Source organism: Homo sapiens, chromosome 11, assembly GCF_000001405.40.
Source record: "Homo sapiens chromosome 11, GRCh38.p14 Primary Assembly".
Lineage (NCBI taxonomy): Eukaryota > Metazoa > Chordata > Mammalia > Primates > Hominidae > Homo > Homo sapiens.
Window position 1 is genome coordinate 105933511 of NC_000011.10, and position 23989 is coordinate 105957499.

General features: G+C 35.2%; 1 protein-coding gene across 24 annotated transcripts in view; it reads left to right on the forward strand.

The window, feature by feature from the left end:
- GRIA4 (glutamate ionotropic receptor AMPA type subunit 4) overlaps positions 1-23989 on the forward strand; it is a 372097-nt gene that overhangs the window by 323517 nt on the left and 24591 nt on the right. For 18 of the 24 annotated variants that reach the window (NM_001440383.1, NM_001440386.1, NM_001440388.1 and 15 more), the window contains one exon: positions 212-459. The exons of 4 other annotated variants lie outside the window; for them this stretch is intronic. In NM_001440383.1, the coding sequence (NP_001427312.1) occupies positions 212-459 (248 nt within the window). Of the gene's footprint in view, positions 1-211; positions 460-11952; positions 18089-23989 lie in introns of those variants that run through there. 2 more of the 24 variants (NR_046356.2, NM_001440397.1) reach the window with 2 other exon arrangements.

Genomic DNA, 23989 nt, shown 5'->3' on the forward strand with positions numbered 1-23989 from the left:
TGTCTATCATTTCCATGATTTCCTTAAACAGTGTTAAAAGGCAGTTTTCCTATTTGAAAATAATAATATTACTATTATGTTACTCTGTGGCAAATTGGAGTTAGAGAGCAATGGAAAGATACTAAAACGCTTTATTCTTATCTTGGTTCAGCGAATATTAACATGTTGTTCCCTTCTTTCCTGTATTTAATTTTATTTTAATTTCCTCCAGAGATCAAAAATAGCAGTGTATGAAAAGATGTGGACCTACATGCGATCAGCAGAGCCATCAGTATTCACTAGGACTACAGCTGAGGGAGTAGCTCGTGTCCGCAAATCCAAGGGCAAATTTGCCTTTCTCCTGGAGTCCACTATGAATGAATACATTGAGCAGCGAAAGCCATGTGACACGATGAAAGTGGGAGGAAATCTGGATTCCAAAGGCTATGGAGTAGCAACGCCCAAGGGTTCCTCATTAAGGTGGGTGGAATAGTATAACAATATAACATGTGTTGTTATAGTATTCCACCTTCCCTGATGTGCCTGAGAGAATTATTTTGTTTTGTGTGTGAACATGGTATGTTTGTTTGTTTGTTTTCTTTTTCTCCATTTCATATATTTTGGTCAACAATCAGGTAATTTTTTTTAATTTTGGAATGATTAATCCTTGTTGACATATATCTTTGAAGGCCATATAAAAACCAAACTGGTTGAACACTAGCTGCTTCCAGTGGGCCTAAGGCATGGGTAGCATATGCTTCTTTATATCTCATCAAATTTTTTTGGCCACCAATATCTACACTACCATCATGTCAGTGATAATTCTACATTTTATCATTTTTTTTTAATTATGCCTGGCCACTAGTCTCTGAGTAAGAAGAAATTAACCTTTTTCTAGCAAACCACTTTTTTTCCATTTCAATATTTTATTTATTATGGCATCTTTCTATTGGAGATTATCTTGAGGTTGTATTCATGCTAAGTTTGAAATAACATCTATTTATAAAAGCAATCACAGTCAGAGGAAAAAATGAGCTCTGGTTTTATAGTGCTTACTCAAGTCACACTCCTGCCTATTTTAAAGGGAGTGTGGTGTAAGTAAGATCTGTAAAATTAGACCCAATGGCAATCCAAAAATGCTTACAGATAGACCCCTGAAATGTGGTTAATGAGCAAACCATTACATGTGTGGATTAAGTGAGACTTTCATTCTTATGGAAATATTGGTTAAATCTGCCCTTTTCATCCTTTTGGTCCTGGACATAGAAAATTCACATGTTTATGTCCAGGAGGCAGAATTTCCTCTTTTCCTTAAGCAATAAAGGCTGCTGTTGAATTGATGGGGCTGGATCCCATCAAAAGTGATGATCGACAAATTACTCTGGTCTCAGTGCTGCTTAGGAGAAATGTATACAAAGCACAGATTCAAGAGGAAATCAGAATCTTTGCCAAAGGACTTAACCAAGAACCTGATCTTAAAAAGTGATGCCTCTGGTAAGCCATTGAAAAGTGAAGGTAATGAGACCTGTACTATTGCCTAGTACAAATGAAAGCAATATAAATATTATACTTGTTTTCATTGGTTTCAAAAGGGTAACTGCAATGTGCTTTGATATGTGTGTTGGTTTGGGAAGGGTTGAGAGAGATATAAGAAACAAACACCAGTAATGGAAAAGGTTGTGTTAAACCAATATATTGTGTTTGCAAGCAACAGTGTAATAATTAGTGAGGGGTTTTATAGTATGTCACAAAAAGTACAGCATTAAAAAGAGGTAAAACAAAACTAGCCAGTAAAGACAAATTTGGTTATGGACTGTGGCAATTCTGAAGTCAGACTTATTAACATACATTCCATATGAAATTGAAGAAATGTGCAGGGAGAAAGCCAAACAAATAAATTATCCATAATATATTCTACCCAAAAACAATTTCAACTATTCAGAAACTTAAACTGGCATCAGGTTGTTTCATCTTTGAGGGTTTATTTTGTGTGATGCAATATGAAGAATATATAATTTCAATGAGGCCAAGTAGTAAATAAATCTCTGTTGAAGGCGTGGTTTTTGAGAGCACCTTAGCGTAAATAATTTTTTAAAAATAGGAGGGAAAAATGCAATGGTGATTGATATGTAGATCAGTGTTCAGACTATTGATTACATTCACTGGATGTCTCTCTTGCACTTAATTAATTCTCTGTGGATATAGCTGCCTTGTCCTCTGTCTTGTGTCTACTGATAAAGTCAAGCTTCAGGGACTGAATTTGGCCTTCAGTGACGGGTTTGCCTGACTCCCATTAATGGCAAGAGAGTTCCCTCTTAAATGTGCCACTTTGTCAAATCCACACTACAGGGATTGTTTGGGGAAAAGCTGAAGGGCTTCATCTGTCCAGAACTGTATAATAATCACCCATTGGCTTCCCCCTCTTTTCCTGTCCTTCCCTGGACCTTGTTAATGAGGCAATTGTTAAATTCAGCTTCCTGGATGGAGAGTTTGTTTATGCACTTTGTTTTATATATGCCACAATTTCCTGAGCAAGCTGGCTCCTGCCTGCCAAAACCGCAGTCATTTTGTCCTGCCTTTGAGAACACTGGAAGGGCACTGAAGGCTGACCAGCATGCACCTCACCCCACCTCCTCTCTGTCTCATCCTCAGCCATCTAAGCGGGAGACTCATCAGGCTTAAATTCTCATTCTTATCCAACTAGGATTCTTCTGCTTCAAATGAGGCAAACTAATACAGAGATGGACTAATAGTCACCTTCTGTATAAATGATTTAGTTTGTAGAAGCAAATTCAAAATAATTGTATTCATCAGAGCAAGGTCGAGAGAACATACCTGTATCAAAGTCTTTGAAACCTTTCTGTCTTATTCAGTTCTGTAGAGACTTAAGTCTGTTTTCCAAAACAATCTATCTTTTTTTAATCAGGTCTTTAGGTTAATAGTTCTGGATGTAGTGAGACTTTTGTATTGCCTTGTCATTAACAATGGCTTTCTCACAAACTCTGCTATTCAGATTCATTAGGCAATGTCAGACTTTAAGCAAAAGAAAACAGTAATCTGTCCTTCTATTTACACTTAAACAGAGAATGCAGACAAATGACTAGTTATGTTCCATTGGTCTAGGGAGTTTTAAATTTCCAGGTCTTGCTGTATGTTTAAAGTGCTTCAGAAAAATATGTCACAGAAAAGAGGAGAGAGTACGATATATAACCAGAATTGAAAATTAGGACTTGGGTATTTAATGCAGACTTTAAAACAAATGCAATAAGGATCATCTCAAACAGTAGATCTGTAACTGGACTGAAAAATATCACAGCAATGGTGACTAGCACCTGTCCTTACAGTAGAGAATGATTTACAGAGCTCTTTACCGTTCAGACTTTATTTCAGACTAGTGTTTGCTGGACATAACACAATTAAATTTAAAACCACTGATCTATCACTTACTAATAACAATGGCCAGAAATTGTTGGTTTATTGTATTTTGATATAGATTCTCCAGTTCTCAAGTGACAGAACAATTCCAGGTATATTGATCTGGAATCTTTTTTTCACATGCACAGTACAATTTATACTTCTATCAGTGCCATGGTTTTCTTTCTCCTCCCTTTCCCAGTCCCCTTGGCAATCCGAAACAATTGTGAAAACCTTTCTCTGGTTGAGAAATGTCCAAAGATTGTTTTAAAATATACAGTTTCGATGGCATTGCAATGGAATGTAAAGTTTAGAAGAAAGAGGAAGTATATTTATTTTGACTTTACTCTCAATACTATCAACACTATCAACTTTAATATACAAGTTGATTATAATATAGACATCTACTATACTATAGTATTTATGGTATAATAAAGTTGCATACATTACTGTCAAAATACTATCAACTTTGCTACAGTATCCATACTACACTGGTTACTAGACTATTGACTTTACTATGTAATAAATAAACCTGTTAAAGGTTCTTTGGAGCGAATCATCATTCGGTTGACATAGATTTACTATTAAGTAGCTGTTAGATGAGAATAACCCTTTTAAAGATATTCATAGTATCTAGTGTCTGTAAATACCTCCGGACAACAAAGCAGTGAGTCATATCTGAACACTTCCTCTGGCGCTTAGAATGATTTGTATACTTGACCCTAATGTTTGAAGCCAAGTTAAAAACTCTAGTCACCTATACTTTTATTATTCAACAGTGATAATTCTCATCCAAACTTTGCCTCCTCTAAAGAGGTTTGTGGAACTGTGTCTAAAGTAAAACAAATGTTCTGTCACTGAAAAAAAATAAAAATAAAAAGATGCTTTAAAAGAAAGCAGTTCCAATAGAACTTGCTTCAGGGGGTGAGACCTGGAAAAAATGAGGCCCAGTTGTACTTGGCAATGCCAAATTGCAGGAACCCATGGCAACAGGAACCGATCCATTGAAACCAAGCACATCATGTTTAGGTTACAACAGGCAACTCAGAGCCCCACAGCAATAGCACGGCAGGGGGAGGAAATACTCAGCATGGGAATTAGAATACCACATCTCTCATTGGACTTTTCCTTTCAGTATTGAACAAAACTACTGGCCTCATAAGACACTTGGCCTTAGCCTAGATCTACATTGGAGTGAGTAGAGTTCTATGTAGGTCAAATTATTTTTCTTCCACTTTAGAGAATTTGCTGGGGCAGGTGTATTAAACTTAGTATGCAAATTCATGTGTGAAAAATGTTATTATCCTAAGGAGCTACTTTCACATATAAAATTTGTGGGATATATACTTTAGTTCAGGAGTACTTAGAAGGTTTGTGAAGTACTTAGACGGTTTAGGAAAAAGCAGTTTGCTGGATATTTTGTGTGAGAATAATATTTTAGTCTTTTTTTGGTATTATAAACAAGTCAACTGATAGTATTTAAAGTAGATACTAGAAAAACGTAAACGTACAGAAATCTAAAGCTGAGTACTGAGTATACTTTGGCCTCAAATGAAGAAACTTTTAACATGCGTTGTGGAAATTAGTTGCAGTGGGTTGGTACACAAACACATTTATTTTAACTATTATGAAAAGAGATATATCTTTGCTTATGAATACCCTTCATTTTTAGTGCCATATTAAAAGATGCTATAGATAACTTATTTTTTGTAATCCCATTATATTTTGAGATACAGTCTGTTGGGCTAAGGATTAGACAAACACACACAACAAAAATCATTTGCATCTCTCAACATACACACACAAGCACACATAAATCTTTTCTGAGATATGCTTACAAGAGCTACCTAGTTTGCTATTAAGTATACTGGTGTTTATTGTGTGTACCAAGTATTTTGCATTTACAAACTAAGACATCGCATGGTAAAGGTATCAATGCCACTTGTGTCCCAGGGAAAAATAATTGCACAATAGAATCTATATACTGCATTCCTCTCTTTCCAGATGTTCACTACACTAGGAAGGATGAAACTTACCAGGGCCATTTTGAATTCTAAATTTTTCATTTAAATCCTTCCTATTTAATTAAAAGATAACTAAAATTACAACTCCTCATGAAGAAGGAAACAAACGTTGCTTTTTTTCTACATTTCTTTAAGACTCACAAGGCATTATACATGTTTGTGATTCTTCCCATTAGTTAAAAAAAATGCTAAAATGATTTGCCCTCAATCTTTTGACAGTTCATTCAACAAATGACTCCTGAGTGGGTTCCAACTGAGAATTTATCAGTATTTTTTAAGTCGTTCATTCTTGAGATGCTTTATAGCAGCCTGAGTAGGTAACACCAAATTGAAAAGTTTCTATATTCAAGGGTTAGCCTTTTGCTCTCCTTACCACTACACTTAGAAGTTGTATTTTAGTAACTTTCCTGAGAAAATGAGTAATTTTTGGCCATTTTAGTTTCTCCCACTTCAAAGGGGATCAAATTTGACAAGATAAACTGCTACCAAAATGTTTGGCAGTTTACTTAGAAGTAACCAAAGTAGATATGAATGCACGAAGCTTCCGTGCTATTCCCTTTCTATTTAATTGGCCTTGATTTCCTCATTCTAAGCATTCTCTGGACCCATATTTAAATTCTCCCAGAAAGATATTTTTTTTGTTTCTGCTGTGCATACTATAGATTCTGACCATGGTGGCAAAGCTACTCTTCAGCCCTGTCTATACTAAATTATTAAAGAAAATATGTCAGATTAATTACTCTCCACTATAGGATCTCAGGTTATAGGATCATGACTTCTATAAAGTGGCTTACATTCAGTTCACGAGTGGCTCTCAATTTATCTTCAGAACAGCAGCAAAAGTCAAGTGACATATTCGCTATTGTTGTTGTTGTTTGCACATCATTTGTGTTGGCTTCTATTCTCCAGATTGACGTTCCTAAAGGAAAGAGTGCCAGGAAGAAGGCACCCTAGGTGGCCTCAGCACAGGCTGAGCAGAAGGAGGAACCATTACCTTCTTCTGAGAGACCTTAACTCTTACATTCACTCTTACAACAGGCCAAGAAGAGAAGCATTAAAATCACACCGCAGTGGATTCCTCCCCTTATGATCCCAGGGCCCTCTTAGCTGACAGCGTGGTGGTAGAGTACAGAAGGACTGAAGAACAGAGGAAGGCACTGGGCACAGTGGCTCACTCTTGTAATCCCAGCACTTTGGGAGGCTGAGGCGGGCAGATCAGTTAAGGTCAGGAGTTCGAGACCAGCTTGGGCAACATGGCGAAACCCTGACTCTACAAAAAATAGAAAAATTAGCCAGGCATGGTGGTGCACCTATAGTCCCAGCTACTCGGGAGCTGAGGCAGGAGAATCACTTGAATCCAGGAGGTGGAGGTTGCAGTGAGCCAAGATTGCACCACTGCACTCCAGCCTGGGCAACACAAGATCCAGCCTGAGCAACAGAGAAAGACCCTGTCTCAAAAAAATAAAAATAAAGAATAGAGGGAGGAAGTAGCTCTTTATATTTGCAATAGGTAGACGTGGAGAATATTTTAGACAAACACATGCAGGCACACAACACAGAGCTTTGGAGGGAGTTATGGTAATCAGGTTTACCATAAAAATCCAAAATGCCTATAATACAATACTATAAATAGCTCACTTTATTGTGGATATATAATCTACCCTTCAGTGAAGAATTGTATATGATGCTGCTTTAATGCAGTTTTATGCTAATGATAAACATTTACTTGGTACATCATAAGTAAATAATGGTTTTCTGCAAAACTGAAAATGTACTCCTTTGTTTCAGCACAGCATATGGGAAAGCACTCATCCACAACTTTAGGTGTCATTAGCTTCCTTTTGTCTCTAAAGATAGCATCAATCAAGATGGGGCTACTTTACGATTCACATTTAATTTAAAAAAAAGATAAAATAGTTTGGTAGTCATTTAGAATGAGCTGGAGAATAGCAATGACTCTGGTTTAGAATTATATTCTATTTTAATTTCACTAAAAATTAAAAACTGTAGCTCATTTATTTTAACATTTGTTCCTCTCCAAAATAATCAATCACTTAACTCTGTTTTCAAAATGAAATAACATACATCTGAGATAACTGACACAAATATACAGTATCGTACACCACCTGACAACATCAGAATAGAAAATTGCCATTCAGCTCTTCAAAAAACCTAACCCTAGTCCTGAGCCTTCTCAGAAACAAGCATTATGTTGGTTATGAGAAGATTTTGTAAATAATTTTTATATTAACAGAAGTTAGAAATATTGTGAAAATATTGTTTATCCTCCCTAGCATCAAAAAAGTCTTTTTTTATGATTGAATGTAGTTTCTTTTAAATGAACAAATTTCATACTTCATGAAAATCTAAAAATATTTGTTAACAGATGTCTACAGAATGAAATATACTTTCAAAAACTTTGTGAAGCCATTTTAATATACACCTTTAACATCACACAATTCAAAAATAAAGAAAATTTAAAGACACAACAACATCCCTAGTTCTAACTCCACCTTTCAATGTACACAATGCTGAAGCATTAGAGAAAACTATCATTTTAAATACCATCAACCACACAAAGTCGTATTATATCCTGTTGAAGTAAACTAGATTTTATTGAGCTTTCTTTAATTTTTTTTTAATTCTGGTGTACTCAATGAAGAAATTGACCCACAGATAAGTTTCTACAGAAATGTTAAAAATTCAATCTGTTTTCTTTAAGTGCTAAATATTTGGGAGTTAGCCAGAATAAGAATTCAATTGGAGTCAATCAAACAAATGTGACACAAACAGCTTCTGACTTTCAAAGGCAATATGAGAGTATATAGCCCCCTTTCTGTTGTTGCTTCACTACACAGAGGCCTATATAAAAACTGGCAAGAGCTACCAACAGGGCCTCTGCTGTTATAGAAGAGTGATTGTTTTGTATTTGGTCCTGATAGATAAGCGGCCTCTGAATATTTCATTTTGTAATAATAACAGGCCAAAATCCTATTAGTAACTAAGAAAAGACATCATCAGCTCCCTAGTCCCTAAATTCTCATCTTTTCAGGCATTTGCAACTAGAACCACAAAAAATCATAAAAGCATTATCAGCAAGTATACCTATTTTGCATTGCTAGTGCCTTTAGCATAAAAAGTAAATTTTTTTCTTAAAAAGCATGAGGAAATTTAAAATGAAACCGTGTATCCAGAGTCCTAAAACAGTCCCCTAACCTTTGGCTTATATCTGAAGCTAGTCAGAGGTAAATAGAATTGAATAGGACCCAGGAAAAGTTGACTTCAGATTGTCTCCCAGAGGAAAAATGGCACAGGACTAAAACAAAAAAAACAGTTCATTTCTACTAAGTGATACAGTAATAATATTGTATAAGCCATAGAATTAGTTAAATACATCATTTAATTTTCTTTCCAAATTGTCCACTTTTAAAAGATTATGCTTAAATTTGGCTCATATAAACACCAAAAATTACAGAGCAGCATATTTAAGTGAAACAATAATAGTACAGTTCAGCATTATAGTTTTTGAACCACTTCCACATATATATATATTTTTCACATGGTATGTTAAACCCTCTTATGATGTCGTTTTATTATAGAGGAAGGAACTGTATAATACACTTACGGTGACTTGCCCACAGTCCTACAGCTAAGACTAGAAATGAGATCTTCTGACAATCTCCGGTGCTCTTAAGGGAAGAGAACAAAAAATGACTTTTTAGTATAAACATAGATTCACTCTGAAAACTTACTAAACAGTTTTTGTGATGCTTTCATGCTGCAGTTTTGGCAACACATAAATTCAAGGCATATTGAAAATATCCACATAGAGTTCAACTTCCATAAATTTTAGCTTATTTTAAAAACTAGATAAACTCTCACTGAGTTGAAAAAATTATGTAGCTTTCAGGTCAACACAAAGAAAGATTTTACAATTAAAACTGCTTCCCAAAAATGGGGGGAAATTGGCTTATGATCCCTGACATCCAACTTATTCAAGTAAAAGTAGAAGAGATTCTCACATCTCCTGGACAGGAAACAGTGATGTTGACATCTCTATTTCCTTCCCACTTTGAGAGTCTGAGATTCTGAGTCTTACCCTAGGCTCTCTTTAGGAAAACAACAAAATTCTCATACCTCTTTGAAGTTGCAGACACTTAATAAGACGGAGAAAAAATTCACCCTCAGAACTTCTATAAAAGCTCAGCTGGTTTTGGAATTTAAGTAAGTCACTTCTTTACTAAATAGCTGCTTTTATTGCAGCATATCTTCGTTGTGAAATGGAAAACTATTTAAGGAAAGCACTCCTCTGTAAGAAACAACATAGCAAGAAATAAATGCAGGTCTTGTATGCCTGTAAAAACAGACATTCAAAATTGTATGCTGACATCAAATGTTTGGCACGGTACAAATCTGACAAAATTCATTAGATTATATAAAAGGAGGAATAAAACAGCAAAAGTGAAGCACAGGCCTATAAAAGGACTTGTTTTGATTTTTTTAGAACAAAACTTCTATTTCCATATCTAGGTATGATTTTAAAAATTGATCCACATAATGTGGTAGCCTGTGGTGTTTCAATATGAAATACTTGAGAAGGTGATTACTAAGGGCATCGTAACAACCTTAACAACTTCAGCACTACCTAATTTCTTTTTCATTTTTCTCCTCATCACAAATAGCATTCACTTTACGCCCTGAAGCATGAAGACTTCACAGCCACTGTAATTTTACCCAATCCAGGCAGTATACCTATAGTTATTCTTATTCATAGATTCCCAGATCATTTCTAAATATAAAGATATTGTCTTCAAAACTCTGTCATATAAGTGACTACCATGGATGAAATAGGTGTTTCATAAAATACAGTTTACTTTTTCCCCCCATTTTAAGCACAGCTTTACCATCTCTGCAGGTATTTGTTTCAGAAAAACAGGAAATGCTCTCTCTCTCTATATATATATATAGGAATTTATAATGTTTCATAGATAAAAGGGCTGGTTTGTCAAAATAGCCATTTTTAGAATATTTATTAAAAACAATGAATGAAGTTAGAGTACCAAGGAAGAACACAAAGGAAACCACATATATTATAGTTGGAGGAATTATATCATGCCATATTTATATCATCCAACTTTACAACGATTAAAGTTCACAGGATAAATCTAATACTAAATAAATGGTAATAGTAGTAGATGGAGACAAGATATCATTGTATAACATAGAATCTGTCATAAAGTGTTTTTTCCCTGCACATTTTCATAATGGCTGTTAGAATAATGATTACAACATCCCTCATTTTGATGTCTCTGGAATATACTTTGACAAACTGAGATTCCAAAGTACATCCATTATCTCACCTGATGTCATTTTACTTGATGAAGAATTTTAATAAGTTACCCAAAGTTAAATAACAATAGCACATGATCTTGTATGGGTTCAGGCTCATTCTTGGTCTCCACTCTCCTTCATGTCTCACAGAATTCAATCAATTGTCTGGTATTTGTTTTTTTATGGGAGCCAATCACCCACCATCTCTGAAATTATGCCAAAGGGTAACTAGGACCTGATTCTAAGCTCTGTTAATTAGACAGTAGCCTCAACAGAGATAAAGTAATTCAAATAAGAAAACACCATATCAGAGACTACATAAATGGAAAAAAAAAAGGAAATAAAAATTTAATAACTACTATGTAGCACACCCATATATACTGGAATTTGATCCCCCTAACTCCTTGTAGTTGTTGCTTTTATCTTCATCTGGACAGATGCTGCTGCTGCAACTCGGGTTAAATAGCTGATGAGTGACAGAAGTGGAACTGGAGCCCATTACTGCCTAGGTCCCAAGCCCATGAGCCTCTCACTATGTTGCCTTGTTTCTCTCCAAATTCACAGAATCCTACTTAGAGACAAATTAAGAAAAAAAAAATCTCATCTTTATTCATCCTGCCATTTCCCATTGTGAAAAAATACAAGCACATAGTGTCTGATAATATCCATTTCTCAGATGTTTTTCTAGCTCTCCCAGCTAATGACCATTTAATTCCTTTTTTATTTTCACAATAATTATTGTTCATATCAGATTTAGTATTGCTTCAATCATGGTGCTGCTTGTAGCACTATCATTTTACTCTCAAAAAACAAAAGAAGGTCAGGGAGATGAGCTGAGAACACCCCAGCATACCCCTTCTTCCTAAGGAACTCCAGGTGCCCACCATGATGCGCCCTCCATTATTCACTCCAGCTGAAAAAATTACCCAAGCAATGCCCTTCTGTGAACTCCTACTCTAAGCCAATCTTCAAGGTATTAGAGCTCTCTGGCAAGACAGACTGAAGGGCAGACAATATTTTTTTCCTCTTCCCCTTTGGCTTAATTCTTAAAATGGGTTTTAAATTCAATTCAGTGAAAGCCCCAGTATATCAGACATTTGGTAGTGTCTTGTGAGACCTGAGGAAAGGGTTGACCAGAACTGAACTTGACTTTAATACAAGACCATGTTCTATTATTGTTTAACTTTGGGTATTTCTCCCCTAGGAGGAGGACAGAGGAGAACTAACCAGCTCCAGGACCAAGGTAAGAGGGGAGTTTTCTTTCAAAAGAATGGCTTCCATCCATTTGAAGGAAACCCCTCCCCCACCTGTTTTTTAATCCCTTTTTCTTTATACATTTATATTTTTTAACCCACCAGCATAAGGAAACCAGCTTGCCACTTGTGCGTAATAGTTATTTGAACATTCACTTACAAATGGTATAGCAGGAAAAAATAAAAACTTTCACACAAGTCATATCAGTTATATGCTAATGCATTTATGTTTTCTATCTTCATTAAATATTAGTACTAGTCTTCCATTAAGGCTTAGATACTTGCATAGGCCTTAGAAAATTTTTATCAGCTGTTAATTTCTCTATTTGTAAAATATACATAGTTACTATCAGCCAAACAATAGTGCTCACAAAAATATCAAAACTAAAATCCAAAGCATTTTTATACAGAAATATATCATTAAGAAAAAAATAATAAAATTAACCACTAATATCATTTTAATGATATATATTTGGAAATATGATCAGTCTGGACTTTTGGGTTGAAGCTATACAAACTTAGTGAGATTTTTAAGGTGCCATAGGAAAACTGTGGTTAGAAAAATAGGAGGAAAGGGAGGAAATATTGTGTTGAGCATCATCTCTCCATGCTTATACACCCTCTTCCCAGGCCTCTTGTGTATTTCTTTTAATGGTTTTCACTATAACCTCTCACTTTTTGTGTTGTTGTCCATAGAAATCATTAGTATTTCCTGACTTTGGTATTCTCTTTCAAATTGGTCTTTCCATAGAGGAAAACCAAGAGGAGAAACAAGTGAAAGAATTTAAAGGGGCGGTGCAGTGGCTCACACCTGTAATCCCAGCACTTCGGGAGGCCAAGGCAGGTGGATTTCTTGAGCCCAGGAGATTGAGACTGGCCTGGGCAACATGGCAAAACCCCGTCTCTACAAAAAAATAGAAAACAATTAGCTGGGCATGGTGGTGCATGTCTGTTGTCCTACGTACCCAGGAGGCTGAGGTGGGAGGATTGCTCGAGCCTGGGAGGTAGACGTTTCACTGAGTTGTGATCATGCCACTGCACTCCAGCCTGGGTGACACAGCCAGACCCTGTCTCAAAAAAAATAAATAAAAGCTAAATTAAAAAATAAATTTAAAAATCTAAAAGTTGAGCTCGAAAAAGAAAAATAGACCATAGGGATTATGAAAGGCACCAGCTTCTAGATCCTATTCAGCAATAATTATCTGTTATCATTTTCCTCCAAAGAAGCTAGATCTTGTGTGACTCAAGTAGATTTTAGGAAAGTTTTAAGATCAGGTAACAGGGACACTTGGGACTCAAGAAGAAGAAAATTTTAGGAAGGGAGAAAAAAATGTACCAAAAAAATGAGAATTCAGGCAATTTGTTGCCAAAAAATAGTCATCGTCTTCCAGTAATACAGGTCTACCATTTTGTTACAAACGTGTTTAGAAGCCTTGCAAATCCTTAAAGTTGGATTGTTAGAGCATGTAATGAAAGAAAATCCTTTCCAAAGGATACATTTTTGTTAGAGGTTATTGTTTTCTGAGCAGGAACAATAGTGGCTATGTGATTAGGAACTTACATGAAAAGACTCATTCAAACTAAGTAATTCATTTTAACATCAAAACATAATATCTATTTATGTAGATAAATATATTATAATGGTCATCAAATCCAGAAACTTAAGCATTAAACTTTTAGCTCATGGCATATTTTGTTGACTGATTGTCTGATATAACCTAATTTTGACTTTCTCTCTCACTGACTTCTTTAATGAAAAGTACAGGATATATTTGAATCACATTATTTATTCTTAATTTATTTATCCTGAATTTTAAGATGCCAGGCATACGGACTCTCCACTGAAGCAGTCATACAAAAGAAGGAAATTGTCACAACATTGTTAGTGAGCTCTTTATGTGTTAGAATTTGATGTTTACATGGACATTTGTTATATCAGGAAGATTTGTTGTACTTTGAATTCTTATAAAATACTTCATAGAAATCTCACTCAGGGAAACAATTGGTGGGAGTTCTACAGTGACTTAGCTCTTTTGGATAACAGAGCATTGAAATGACAGCACCACTTCTCTGTTTTGTTGCTTAGTAAAGTGAAAAGCATTGATTTATATACTTGCATTCAATTTATTAAGTATATTTAAAATAGTTCATGAAAGTGTCCAAACTAATAGCTTAAGATACCCAACTTCTGACAAGTAGCAAATAACTGAATGACTATGTAATATGTGTAATATGTTCCAGTATTAACACCAATAGAAGCAAATGTAGGTGAGACTATTTTAAGAATTTAAATTTTTTGTCACTTTTTAAAATTTGAATTGTTTAAACAGTGGGTGTTAGAATATATTTCTATTTTGAAATATGACTATAAGCCCTGTTGCTTTCAAAATAAGCAGCTTTGTATCTTCACTTAGAATCTCATAAACTTAAAATATTTACAGACTCATGGATTCAGAATTCTTAGGCTTCAACTATTTTCAGAGAGTAACAGAAAAGCTACAAATTCTCACAGATGTGAGCCCCCATGTATCTGAACTTTGAATAAAAAGCTCAGCTTCCTTTCATTAGCTTGTAATCTCTGTTTCTATAAGAAGCACTCTTAGTTTGTAATCCCTATTTCTATAAGCAGCACTGTTTTTACTCAAGTGTCTTCTCTACTTTGTGTTGCTCATCAGCCTAAACAAAATTCAGGCCAAAAGCTCTGGTAGGTTAAGCAAGATCAATTAAAACACATTTTAAGTGATAAGAGCAACATCCAAATACTGACCTCCTGCTAAGGAACCTGAAATCTTAAATGAAAGAAGAAAGTTGGAACTTTTTATTTTTAAATTTTTACTCTCAAGAATTTAATGGAAAATTTATAGTCTTTGTATGTGAAGTTTAAATAGATACATGTGGTGAGTTAAATACATATTAAAATATGCAGTGAAATAAATCTCAAACCACAGTTGACACTTAATATCTGTTGGTAATAAATGTAATTTTTAATTTTTAAAATAAAAATAAATTATATTATTCTAAGAAGTAAATTTAGTAACAGAATAATTTTTCTTTCTTTCTTTCTTTTCTTTTCTTTTCTTTTTGTTTTTTTTTTTTTTTTTTTTGAGATGGAGTCTTGCTTTGTTGCCAGGCAGGAGTGCAGTGACTGCAGTGATGTGATCTTGGCTCACTGCAACCTCCGCCTCCCGGGTGCAAGCGACTCTCCTGCCTCAGCCTCCTGAGTAGCTGGGACTACAGGTGTCTGCCACCACACTGAGCTAAATTTTTGTATTTTTAGTAGAGTACTGGCCAGGATGGTCTCGATCTCTTGACCTCATGATCCGCCCACCTCGGCCTCCGTAAGTGCTGAGATGACAGGCATGAGCCACCACGCCTGGCCAACAGAATAATTTTCTAAAGGTGATGTGTTTTCTTGGCTAAACTTGAATAGAATTGATTTATAAAAATCCATTATGGAGGATTTTTATCTTGAAGTTTAGTTAAGAGTATCACATTTCCCTTGATATTAACAACAAAGTTGCATTTGATTTTATCATTTAGTGTTCTTTCCTTGTCTGGCTGCATAAAGTGAAGGGCAACTGGTTTATTTTAGCTATCTATAATCTCACTGAAATATCTTCTAAGATTATTTTGTTTATACAGTGGATCAAATTGTCAGCCATTATTCATAAAGATAGCTAATGTCAATAATATGTTTATGTCCGCTTGCCAACACTTAATAGACAGTTTTGAAGTGTTTTGTTTTAAAACACACTTCATATCAGGACTTCCCAAAATTCATTAGTTGCCTTAGTTGAAGGATTCCCTTTCGTTTGCCCAGAACACTATTCTTTTATTTTAATGGGTTGCTTGCAAAATAGCACGAGGTTAATTCACTGTTATATCACTTCTTATGTAGTTCTTGCATAACAACTATAATCATTGCCCTGCATTAGGACTGAAAAGAGTATAAAGTACCCTAAAACACAGTTGTTACCCTCCAAGAGAAAGAAAAGATTTACATAGATCGTGTTGTAATGTATGACTCAAAGGAAATATGAGTACTCAGATACTAGATCTTATTATTTAAAGAAGAAAGAGATAAACAGCATCTACAGTATCTGTGAAATACCTCATAAAGAAGATTCAGATGTATTAGTTTACAAATATTAGCAAATGAATAAATAAGTCAGTGAGTGATTACTGGAAAATGTTAAGAAATTCAGAAAGGCTAAGAGAAGGGAAAAAAGGAATTCCTGGTGAATGTTCTAATATGAGTTTGGAGTCAGTTCTGAATAAAATATAGTTAGGACTATAAGGAAACTAACCTGGCTGAAGGCAGAGAGAATCAGCTTGGAGGATTAGTTTGATTAAGAGACTAGACTTCTGTGTTAGACAAACCCAGCTTCCTATTTCACTTTTGCCATTTACTAGCCAATCAACTTTAGGCCTCACTATCCTCATCTGTAAAATGGAGATGTAATTCTACCATACGGGATTGTTGTGAGGATTCAATGAGAATCCTCTGTCTGGCTAAATAAAATATAATACAGTTATACTTTAAAAGAGTATGTAAGCTGAATTGTTGAGAAAGCTTGAATGTCAGAAAAGTTAGAATAATATCTTGGAGGCAATCATGAATTTGTGAAGATTTTTGACAAGGCATTCTAAAAAGCAGTGAAGCAAAGTTATTCTGACTCTGGGTAGCAGAGAATGGATTGAGAAAGCCAGTGGATCTGGTCTTGGGTGATAAAGGCTTCAACTAAAGTGATGCCAGTTTAATAGAAATGAAAATATAAATATGAGAGTCACTTGTCATAAAAACAGTTCTTAATGGATAATTGGCTAGAGGAAAGGAAGGGAAATGAAAATTCAAAGATGAGACTGAGTTTTTGTGGTTGGGCCTTGTTATTTTGGTATTCATTTTTACAGTCCTATTTCTTCTGTGTAAAATCTCCTAATTCATTATACTGAAGCTTCTATATGGTACTGTTCTTGGGACCCAAGATTACATGTCTCAAAAGATTAGAACTTAAATCAATAAGAACTTTGTATGTATGAAAAAAAAGACATTTTAACTTTGGAAGAAAATCTTACCATCTAGTTAAATCAAGTCATTTCATATAGATATTGGTAATGCTTTTCAAAGAAAATTATCTACTACCCTTCCTTCTTGGGTATTTAGGCTGTATCTGTTCAGTTGACAAGACCACCTGCCTTTCAAGTTTTTTCTCAGCTCAAGGAGTATTTAGCCTGAGAGAACTGAAATTGCCATCTTACAATGGCTTCCAAAACTTAATCAGGCATAGACCCTACCAAGCCTGACAAACTTCCCAGGAAAAAGAAAATTTCCCACAGAGAGCCATAGAAGGATGAATATATAGTTTAGCTATACAGGGAAGAGTCATGATAGGAAACCAAAGGTATCCTGGTACTGTAGGAAGAACACTGGACCAGAAGGCAGAAGACCTGTGCCCCAGCTGGACTTTGATGGACAAGTCACCTAACTTTCATTAGGCCCCAGGGACTGCATCCTAGGGCCTAATAAGAAGGATGGGCATAACCTCTAACCTACATTTTGATTCAAAAATTCTGGGATTCTAAGTCTTTAAAGCAATTGATGAAAGTTTTTAGGAGTCAGCAAAGAATGGGAAAAGTAAAGATGATCTGTGGACCATGGAATGGAATTCTGGAAATCACATAAGGAGATGAAGAAATCAAGAGTAAGAGACAGTGGGGGAGTCCACACAGCAAATCCTGGTCCAGGCAGGGCATCTGCATGAAAGACACAGTACTGTTGAACAGCTCACATGCTGTTTATGTAACAGAGACCAGTTCTTATATTTTAAAATTATATTTTACCTACTTTAAAGCAAATTTACTTTAGAATAATAATAACCACAACTTGAAAAATGAATGCTATTCAGAGATAACTTGAAGAACTTCACTAGCTAGGCATGGTCTCATTTGAAACAAAGCTTTCATATGTATAATTTGAGCACAGTGATAACAACAAGGGAATGGCCTGAGGCAGGGACTTTACTGAGTATAGTCTCAAACACCCCAAGGCCACCACAAATAAATAAAATGTGTGGTATGAAATATGAATAGTTGATATTTTCTCAATATTATATAACTGAAGGCATCTTTTCACATTTTTTTTTAAATTTTTATTGGTTTCACATTCAGTATTTAAAAATGGGAGTGGGTATGGTGGCTCACACTTGTAATCCCAGGCAGGTGGATCGCTTCAGCCCAGGAGTTCGAGACCAGCATGGGCAACATGGCAAAACCACATTTCTACAAAATATACAAAAATTAGCTGGGTATGGTGGTGTGCACTTGCAGTCAATCTTAGCTACTCAGGAGGCTGAGGTGGGAGGATCACCTGAGCCTCGGGAGGTCAGGGCTGCAGTGAGCCATGATCATGCCACTTCACTCCAGCCTGGGCAACAGAGTGAGACCCTGTCTCAAAAAATAAAAATAATAAAAAATTAAAATGTTCTGCATATGATGCAACTGTACAATGATCACAGATTGAGGCTAGTACTTTGGAAATCCCTTCTCAATAAATCAGTCTTAAAACCTCTGCTCTATTAACATTCTGAGCCACCAGGTGTCATAGAAATGTTTTTATTTCGCTTACCTTTAATAGACAGACTTAGAAGTCATCACTATTTTTAAAATAAATGTTATTCGAATTTAGAACAGATATATTTTTAATCTGTGTTCAAGTTGCCCTTCCAAGGTCTGTGAACCCCTGAAATTATGTATAAGTCTGGGGTTTTGTAAGTTTTTGCATTTCTTCCTGAGAAAGTATTTGTACTTTCATTGAATTCTAAAAGAGAACCATGACCCAAAGTAGGTAAAAAAATTCTACTCTGTGACCTAAAATTGACAAAATCATGAAGCTAAGTTTCATGAAATATTTGTAAATATTACCTAAAAAATACTCAACACTAAAAATGTAATTAAAATTTTCATTGATCAAACTCCCTAGCTAATGCTCTGGCTAAGTTCCTGGGAGATATCCTAACAAAAATCACAAAGCTCCTTCAAGGAATAACATTCCTCAGATCCATGTCTCAACTAGAAATTAATCATGCAAATTCCAATGAACATGCAATTTAGAGACAATTGCTGGAATCCAGACAAGTATCTGTGTAACTTGTTCAGCTCTCCTTGACTCAACTTGGAATATGAAATACAAAGGTTTCCACACTAACTTAATTACATATATGTCATCTAAAACCCAAACCAAAGACACTAAATCCTTCCTTATCAAAGTAGTTTTCAAGTGCTCATTGCAAATCATGCTGGGTCTGAATTGTCTTTCCACTTACAAAAATTTTTCTCTCCTTATTTTAATATTAAATTCCTGATCAATAGTACCATTTAATGCAAATCTTACTTGTCATCGCATAGGCAAACTGGAGTAAAAATTCAATATCTTTTCTAAAAACTTTTTGCATATATATGTAGAGCAATCTAGCCCAAATTCTGCCTTTGGAAATGAGTGCACAAATCCAATGAAGCAAAAAGAGCCTTGTGCTTGTCTACTGGAATGAATAATTTGGGAAGAAAAGTAATAACACAGCTACAAGTTAAATTGAAAACTTAGTGGAGCATTGATAATGCTGAAAACTGGCTACTCTTCGAGGCTAAATAGTTGATAAAGGGTAGAATTGCGAATGCAAAAGCCTTTCCTTAAAATTAGACATATTTAGTTCTTCACTCTTCATCATTTGACAGCCTATTGATTCTTATTTACTTTTTGTGTTTTCTTGATTAATAAAATAGTCATTTTTTCTCAGTAGGTCATTAATTGACTTTACACAGAGTTCTGGGGTTGTTGTAAATTCTCAGCTTTTTTGCTTACTTGCTCCATTCACCTTTATCTGGAAGATGTCATTAATTAAACTACAAAAGTAAATCCTACATGATATTTGCTTCTCTCTACCTATTTCATCTTGTTATATGGAATACGCATAGAACTTTTGTGAAAATACTGACAATGCAGCTATATTTAATAACAGAATGAATAGTCTATGTAGAGTTGGTTATTCATATTTCATGAAATTACTATTTTCTTATTAGCATGGTTCTGGGAAAACTGTAGCACATATACATGTATACACATACACACACACACACACATATATATACATACATACACACACACACACATTTGCTGCTAACAAAGCTTAAATCAAATGAGTTTTCCAATCTGGAATTTTAGTTTGATTTCAAGAAAGGTATAAAATAAATATGTAGCATGATAGAATATAAAAATAAATTGTATTTTTTAACTCCTACAAACAAATAAAAAAAAAAGACTTTTTCTTAGGGTCTCTAATACTTGTTAGGGAAAGAACATAGTTGCTAGCCATAAATCTGTTTTTCTGAAAACAGAGATATAAACTCTTTCTTTTTTTGTAAATAGCACACTAAGCAGGACTCAAGGCTATTCAGTCACATTCATTTAATTCAGCCTAAGGGAAAAGACTCACCTTGTCTATATAAATATGTGTGAAACAGCAAGTCTTCTTTCTAGGCCACTAAGAGTTCTATTAACCTCCTGTAGCTCCTGTCTGATGGGGTATGTCTGCTAATTGATGCATTGCTCATACTTCTCTGCCTGACCTGTTCCCATCAAATAAAGTAGAGCCCTCATAGAAGCCAAATACATCACATGTCCTCCAGCCTGTGACTAGAGGGACAAAACCAACTGAACCAAAGCAAACCACATAATGAGGAACAATAAATGTTTTTCTAAGAACTTTAAGAATAACCCCTAATTTATATCTCAAATTTTATTTAATCCAAAATAGAGTATATTATTTGGCTTGAATAAAACAATTCCATAAGGTATTATATTACAAAATAACTGAAAGCTTTGTTTTTTACTAATTATTACAGTATCACTTTCCACTGCCCAGAAAATTTTGGGTGTGTGGGGGCATAAAGAACAAATGCAATTTAAGTTCATCATCATCTTACACCCAGAGATTGTGATTTGTTGTATTTTCTTTCATATTCTTTTCAATAATCAACATTATGTATATGTATACTTATATATAAATGTATAGTTTATTCTCAGACTAAGATCAAAATGAACACACACTTGTTTCTTTTTCTGCTTAACATTATACTATAAGTACTCCCTCTTGCCATTGAAATTTTTTTAATGGTTATCAAACATCAATCATATGGATCATTGGTACTTATCAACACTATAACGCCAGAAGCTTTGTAACATATGGTACCCCAATTTAGAAAAACCTGATACAGTGGGGGTTAGGTCTGAGCATGAGTATTTGCAATATGCAGTTATTATACTCAAGTCAAAGTTGAGACCACTGGTGTATACCAAAATCTCCTTAATCTTCCCTCTTTTTGATAGGTATATTGCTTTCAATTTATATATATATATATATATAATGCCATATAAAATGTTATATATATAATGCTATATATATAATGTTACATATATATAAAATGAGATTTATCATAAGTCATTTTGGCAGCACCTTTAATTTCTTAGGATTGATTGCTCTAAGGGGAATTATTTAATTAAGGGTGAGAATTGTTTTAAAGCTTTTGTTGTATAAAGCCAAATTATTTTCTTTTTGGTTTTTAATTCTTTTTTTCTCCTTTTTTAAAAATTTCATCTTTAAAAAATGGGATATATGTGCAGAACGTGCAGATTTGTTACAAAGGTATACAAGTGCCATGATGGTTTGCTGCACCTATTGACCCGCCCTCTAAGTTCCCTCCCCTCACCCCCAACCCTCCAACAGGCCCTGGTGTGTGTTGTTCCCTTCTCTGTGTCCATGTGTCCTCAATGTTCAACTCCCACTTATATGAGTGAGAACATGTGGTGTTTTGTTTTCTGTTCCTGTGTTAGTTTGATCAGGATGATGGCTTCCAGCTTCATCCATGTCCCTGCAAAGGACATAATCTCATTCCTTTTTATGGCTGCATAGTATTCTGTGGTATATATGTACCATATTTTCTTTATCCAGTCTATCATTGATGGGCATATTGGTCGGTTCCATGTCTTTGCTATTGTACACAGTGCTGCAATAAACATGTGTGCATGTGTCTTTATAGTAAAATGATTTATATTCCTTTGGGTATATACCCAGTAATGGGATTGCTGGGTCATGGTATTTCTGGTTCGAGATCCTTGAAGAATCACCATATTGTCTTCCACAATGGTTAGACTAATTTAAATTCCCACCAACAGTATAAAAGCATTCCTATTTCTCCACAGCCTTGCCAGCATCTATTGTTTCCTGATTTTTTAAAAATCACCATTCTGACTGGCGTGAGATGGTGGTACCTCATTGTGGTTTTGATTTGCGTTTCTCTAATGATCAATTATGTTGAGTTTTTTTCATATGTTTATTGGCTGTGTAAATGTCTTCTTTTGAGACGTGTCTGTTCATGTGCTTTGCCCAATTTTTGATGGGACTGTTTGTTTTTCTCTTGTAAATTTGTTTAAGTTTCTTGTAAATTCTGGATATTAGACGTTTGTCAGACGGGTAGATTGCAAAAATTATCTTCCATTCTGTAGGTTGCCTGTTCACCCTGGTGATAGTTCTTTTGCTGTGCAGAAACTCTTTTTTTATATACATACTTTAAGTTCTAGGGTACATGTGCACAATATGCAGGTTACATATGTATACATGTGCCATGTTAGTGTGTTGCACCCATCAACTCGTCATTTACATTAGTTATATCTCCTAATGCTATCCCTCCCCGCTCCCCCCACCCCACAACAGGCCCCAGTTTGTGATGTTCCCTACACTGTGTCAAAGTGTTCTCATTGTTCAATTCCCACCTATGAGTGAGAACATGTGGTGTTTGGTTTTCTGTCCTTGCAATAGTTTGCCCAGAATGATGGATTCCAGCTTCATCCATGTCCCTGAAAAGGACATGAACTCATCCTTTTTATGGCTGCATAGTATTCAACGGTGTATATGTGCCACATTTTCTTAATCCAGTCTATCATTGATGGACATTTGGGTTGGTTCCAAGTCTTTGCTATTGTGAATAGTGCCACAATAAACATACATGTGCATGTGTCTTTATATCAGCATGATTTATAATCCTTTGGGTATATATGCAGTAACAGGATGGCTGGGCCAAATGGTATTTCTAGCTCTAGATCCTTGAGGAATCGCCACACTGTCTTCCACAATGGTTGAACTAGTTTACAGTCCCATCAACAGCGTAAAAGTGTTCCTATTTCTCCACATCCTCTCCAGCACCTGTTGTTTCCTGACTTTTTAATGATTGCCATTCTAACTGGTGTCAGATGGTATCTCATTGTGATTTTGATTAGCATTTCTCTGATGGCCAGTGATGATGAGCATTTTTTCATGTGTCTTTTGGCTACATAAATGTCTTCTTTTGAGAAGTGTCTGTTCATATCCTTTGCCCATTTTTTGATGGGGTTGTTTGATTTTTTTCTTGTAAATTTGTTTAAGTTCTTTGTAGATTCTGGATATTAACCCTTTGTCAGATGGGTAGATTGTAAAAATTTTCTCCCATTCTGTAGGTTGCCTGTTCACTCTGATGGTAGTTTCTTTTGCTGTGCAGAAGCTCTTTAGTTTAATTAGATCCCATTTGCCAATTTTTGCTTTTGTTGCCATTGCTTTTGGTGTTTTAGTCACAAAGTCCTTGCCCATGCCTATGTCCTGTATGGTATTCCCTATGCTATCTTCTAGGGTTTTTATGGCTTTTAGGTCTAACATGTAAGTCTTTAATCCATCTTGAATTAATTTTTGTATAAGGTGTAAGGAAGGGATCCAGTTTCAGCTTTCTACATATGGCTAGCCAGTTTTCCCAGGACCATTTATTAAATAGGGAATCCTTTCCCCATTGCTTGTTTTTGTCAGGTTTGTCAAAGATCAGATAGTTGTAGATATGCGGCATTATTTCTGAGGGCTCTGTTCTGTTCCATTGGTCTATATCTCCGTTTTGGTACCAGTACCATGCTGT